Source organism: Homo sapiens, chromosome 14 (genome assembly GCF_000001405.40).
Source record: "Homo sapiens chromosome 14, GRCh38.p14 Primary Assembly".
Taxonomy (NCBI): Eukaryota; Metazoa; Chordata; class Mammalia; order Primates; family Hominidae; genus Homo; species Homo sapiens.
In genome coordinates this window covers 24,651,180-24,657,179 of record NC_000014.9, presented here as the reverse complement: position 1 = coordinate 24,657,179, position 6,000 = coordinate 24,651,180, and positions in this window count along the sequence as shown.

The following is a 6,000-nucleotide window of genomic DNA, read 5'->3' as shown; positions in this document are numbered from 1 at the left end:
ATCCCTCTTGTCAGGGATTTACCACACCTGGACCCACTACATAACAGTAATTTGCAGGTTTGCCCTATCAGGGAAGGGGTGGAGCTTGGTTTCCGTGCCCTGGTGATCTCCCCTGAACAAGAGAACCCCAGGCCTCCAAACACGGGAACACATGTCAGAGTAGGGCATCTGGTCCAGGGAGCTGTGACTAAAGGTAGAAAAAGACCTGCTAGCGCTGCGAACTCTCCCCATCTCTGATCTAGCTCTGCTTCTCTCTTCAGTCTATTCACATCCTCTCTCTTCAATCTCGAAAGATTTCCCTAACAGCATTCCACTGGGGACCACTTCCAAATTCAAGCCTGCTCAAGGAAGAGAGCTGGTAGTAGAATACCAGAATCACAGGCTTGTGTGAAAAGCAGCCTGGAGAGAAGGGCTTTCATGCATTCTTGTGGGAAAGATGGAAACCTCGGTCTTCTTACTAGAGGAGGGATGGATTAAATGGTTTCTGTAGGTTTTACAAATATTGTTTATTAGGGTAAGGAAATTTATTTCCATTTTTGTTTACTAAAAGGGTATTTTTATTATGAGGAGATGTTAAATTTTATCAAAAGCTCTTAAGTTTATTGAGCTGATTTTAGGATTGTTCTCTTAAATATGTGTGGCAAATTATGTTAATTGATCTAAGGTTAAATGAGATCTGCATTCTTAGATCTGCAAACCTAACTTGCTCATGATGTATCAACCTTTTTGTATATTGGTGGACTAATTTTGAGAGTTAATACTTTGTGTAGGGCTTTGATTCAGTGAATCACGAATAAGATTGACCTATAAATTTCCTTCCTTATTCTCTTCTTTGTATCAAGGTGATGCCAACATTATAAATTGAGATGGGTAGTGTTCATTTTTCTCTTCTCTGGAAAAGTTTTTAGAATAATAAAAATCTTTCTTCAGTTTCAGTAGAAATTAACAGTAAAGTCATCTAGGTCAGTTCTCTGTGTAGAAAAATTTTTGACTACTGGCACAATTTCTTTGATTGTTCTAGTATTACTCAACTTTGTAATTTCTTTTTAAGTCCATATTAGGTGGTGATATTTCTATTTTGTCTAAAATTTCAAATTTATTAGCACTAATGTTTTTATAATATTCTTGGCTTATCTTTTAATGGTCCACAGCATTTGTAAAAGTATTGTATTCTGAGTTCCTGATATTAAACATTTGCGCCTTCTCTCTTTTTTCTTAGTTTCTCCAAAGGTTTGTTAACTTTATTAGTCTTTTCAAATAGTTAATCTCTGCTGTATTAAATCTCTCTATTGTATGTTTGCCTGTTGTTTTATTAACTTCTTCTGTCTCTTATTATTTCTTCCTCCTACTTTATTGAGTTTATCTCACTTATTAATCTCTAAGTCCCTGAGATAAGTGATCAGTTCAATAATTTGTTTGTTGTGATTTATGAGTTTTAAGACTAAAAAGATCCTCTACCTGCTATTGCTACAATCCAATAAGTGCTATTATTGTTATTCAGTTCTAAACTTTTCATTTTTAATAAATTTTATTTGGATTTATGTGTTATTTAAAAGTTTATTTCTCTTTTTCTAATATTATAGAGTTTTTTTATAGTTATATTATTGATTTCTTGTTTGATTATGCTGTGACTAGACAACATTTGAAAAAAATACATCTTTGAAATTTCTCAAGAGTTGCTTTGCAGCCCAGTAAGTGATTGATTTTGGCAAAGTTTTTTAGCGAACTTACAAAAATATATATCCTGCAGTGGGGAACTTACAAAAAGATATATTCTGCAGTGGGTGGGCACAGTGTTCTAGAACTCTTAGGTCTAGTTTATTAAATGACCTGTTTAAATCATCTTTATTTTGCCAATTCCTGAGATACTGATAGATTTATTTATTCTTGGAGTTCTTTCAATTTTTGTTTGTCAATTTTATCTGGTATTAATGCAACTATAATGGTTTTCTTTTGGTTACTATAAATATAGCAAACATGCTTCTGAGTAATACATTTGCTACAATTGATGAGCCTACATCGGCAGAACATAATCATGCACCATGATCATGGTGCATTATCTTTTTGATGTGATGTTAGATTCAATTTTCCAGTATTTTTTAGAAGTCTTGTATTTATGTTCATCACTTATTGACCTATAGTTTTCTTTTTCACTTGTGACCTTGCCTCATTTTTGTATCAGGATAAGCTAGCCTCATAGAATAAATTAGAAAGAATTTAGTCTTCTTCAGTGTTTTGGAATAGTTTGAGAAGCATTTGTGTTATTTCTTCTTTAAAAGAAAAATCAACCTAAGTGTTCACCAATGGATGGATGGATAAGCTGTTATATATATACACACAATGGGATATCATTTCATCCACAAACAAGAATAAAATCCTGTCATTTGCAGCAACATGGATGAGCCTAGAGGACATTATGTTAAGTGAAAGAAGCCAGGCACAGAAAGACAAATGTTGCATGTTCCCACTTACCTGTGGGAGCTAAAAAAGTTGATCTCATGGAGGTAGAGAGTAAAATGGTGATTACCGGAGGCTGGGATAAAGAGAGGTTGGTTAATCCTACAGAAATACAGTAAAATATTAGGAATAATTTCTACTGTATGAGCACAATACAGTGACTGTAGTTATCAATAATTTATTTTATATATCAAAATAACTAGAAAGGAAGATTTGGAATGTTGTCAACACAAAGAAGTGATAAATGTTTGAGGTGATTATAGTGATCAATTACCCTGATTTGATCATTATATATTGTATGCATGGATCAAAATATTACATGTATACAATTATTATGTATCAATAAACAAACCAGACACATAGGCCAGTGGAACAGAATAGAGAACCTCAAATTAAGTATAAGAATTTAGAGCCAACTGATTTTCAGCAAAGGCACCAAGAACATACACTGAGAAAAGGACATCCCCTTCAATAAATGATGCCGGGAAATCTGGGTATCCATATGCAGAAGAACGAAACTAGACCCCTATCTCTCAAAAATCAAAGGAAAGTGGATTAAAGACTTAAATGAAAGACCAAAAACTGTAAAACTACTAGAACAATACATAGGGAAATCTCTTCAGGGCATTGGTCTAGTCAAAGATTTTATGAGTAGGACTTCAAAAGCACAAGCAATAAAAAACTAGACAATGGGACTATATCAAACTACAAAGCTTTTACACAACAAAGAAAACAATCAAGAGAGAAAAGGCAACCTATAGAACGGAAGAAAATATTTGCAAACTATGCATCCAATAAGGAACAAATGTCCAGTATATACAAGGAACTCAACAGCAAAAAAAAAAAAAAACTAATAATTTGATGTTTTAAATGTGCAAGGTATCTGAATAGACATTTTTCACTATAAAAGACATACAAGTGGCCAATACATGTATTTAAAAATGCTCAGCATCACTAGCCATCAGGGAAATGCAAATCAAAACCACAATGAGATGTCATCTCACTTCACTTAGAATGGCTATTATCAAAAAGATAAAAAATAACAAATGCTGCAAGGATGAGGGAAAAGGAAACTTTTACACACTGTTAGTGGGAATGTAAGTTAGTACAACCATTATGGAAAACAGTATGGAGGTTTCTAAATAAAACTAAAACTAGAACTACTATAAGGTCCAGCAATCCCACTACTGGGTATGTATCCAATGGAAAGGAAATCAGTATATCAAAGGGATACCTGTACCCTCAAGTTTATCACAGCACTATTTTCTTTCTTGCTTGCTTGCTTGCTTGCTTGCTTGCTTGCTTGCTTGCTTGCTTTCTTGCTTTTCTTGCTTTCTTGCTTGCTTTCTTGCTTTCTCCTTCTTTCCTTCCTTTATTTTTAAATTTCAATAGCTTTAGGGGTACAAGTGGTTTTTGGTTACATGGATGAACTGTATAGTAATGAAGTCAGATTTTAGTGTATCAGTCACTCAAGTAATGTACTTTGTACCCAATATATAGTTTTTTATCTATCACTCAACTGCCACCTTCCTCTCTTCTGAGTCTCCAATGTCCATTATACCACTCTTTATGCCTTTGTGTACCCATAGTTTGACTCCCACTTATAAGTGAAAATATATGGTATTTGGCTTTCCATTCCTAAGTTACTTCACTTGGAAAAATGGCCTCCAATTCCATCCAAGTTGCTGCAAAAGACATTATTTCATTCCTTTTATGGATGAGTGGTATTTCATAGTGTATATACACCACATTTTATTTATCCAGTCATGGTCCAATGGGCACTTAGGTTGGTTCTATGTTTCTGCAGTTGTGAATTGTGCTGCAATAAACATATGTGTGCACGTGTCTTTTTCATATAATGACTTATTTTCCTTTGGGTAGATACCCAGTAGTGGGATTGCTAAGTCAAATGGTAGAACTGTTTTTAGTTCTTTCAGGAATCTTCATACTGTTTTCCATAGAGTGTACTAATTTACCTTCCCACCAGCAGCGTATAAGCATTCCCCTTTCATCACATCCATGCCAACATCTGTTATATTTTGACGTTTTAATAATGGCAATTCTAGCTGGGGTAAGGTGGTATCAAGTTGTGGTTTTAATTTGCATTTCCTTCATGGTTAGTGATGTTGAGAATTTTTTCCTATGTTTGTTGGCCATTTATATATCTTCTTTAGAGAAATGTCTGTTCATGTCATTTGCCCACTTTTTGATAGGATTATTTGTTTTTTCTTGCTGATTTGTTTGAATTCCTTGTAGTTTCTGGATATTGGTCCTTTGTCAGATGCATAGTTTGCAAATATTTTCTCCCATTTTGTTCACCGTAATGATTATTTCTTTTGCTGTGTGGAGGCTTTTTAGTTTAATTAGATTAGATTTCTTTATGTTTGTTTTTGTTGCATTTGCTTTTGAGGTCTTAGTCATAAATTATTTGCTTAGGCCAATGTCCAGAAGAGTTTTTCCTGGGTTTTCTTCTAGAATTTTTATGATTTCAAGTCTTAGACTTAAGTCTGTAATCCACCTTGAGTTGACTTTTGTATATGGTCAGAGATAGGGATCCAGTTTCATTTTTCCACATGTGGTTAGCCAGTTTTCCCAGCACCATTTATTGAATAGGGTGTCCTTTCCCCAGTTCATGTTTTTGTATGCTTTCTTGAAGATAAGTTGATTGTAAGTATTTGGCTTTATTTCTGGATTCTCTATGCAGTTCCATTGCTCTATGTACCTACTTTTATAACAGTACTCTGCTGTTTTGGTTACTATATCTTTGTAGTATAACATGAAATCAGGTAATGTGATGCTTCCAGACTTGTTCTTTTTGCTTAGGATTGTTTTGGCTATTCAGGCTCTTTTTTTGGTTTCATATGAATTTTAATTTTTTTTCTAATTTCATGAAAAACAATGTTGGTATTTTGATAGGAATTGCATTGTATCTGTAGATTGCCTTGGGCAGTATGGTCATTTTAATGATATTGATTCTTCCAATTCATGAGCATGAGATGTATTTCCATTTGTTTGTGTCATCTATGATTTCCTTCAGCAGTGTTCTATACTTCTCCTCACGGAAATATTTCACATCCTTGGTTAAGTATATTCCTAGAGAGTTGGATTTTTTCCTTTTTTCTTGCAGGCATCTTAAAAGGGATCAAGTTCTTCGTTTGATTCAACTTAGTCATTGTTTGTGTGTATCAGTGCTACTCATTTGGGTACATTGATTTTGCAAGCTGAGACTTTTTGAATTCATTTACCAAATCTCGGAGTCTTTTGTAGGAATTTTTAGGGTTTTCTAGGCATGCAATAACACCACTGGCAAACACAGATAGTTTGACTTCCTCTTTTCCAATTTGGATGCCCTTTTATTTCTTTCTCTTGCCACATTGCTCTGGCTAGGACTTCCAGTACTATGTTGAATAGAAGTGGTGAAAGTGGGCATCCTTGTCTTCTTCCAGTTCTTAGGGGGAATGCTTTCAACTTTTTCCGGTTCAATATGAGATGGCTGTGGGTATGCCATATATGGCTTTTATTATTTTGAAGTATGTTCTTTCT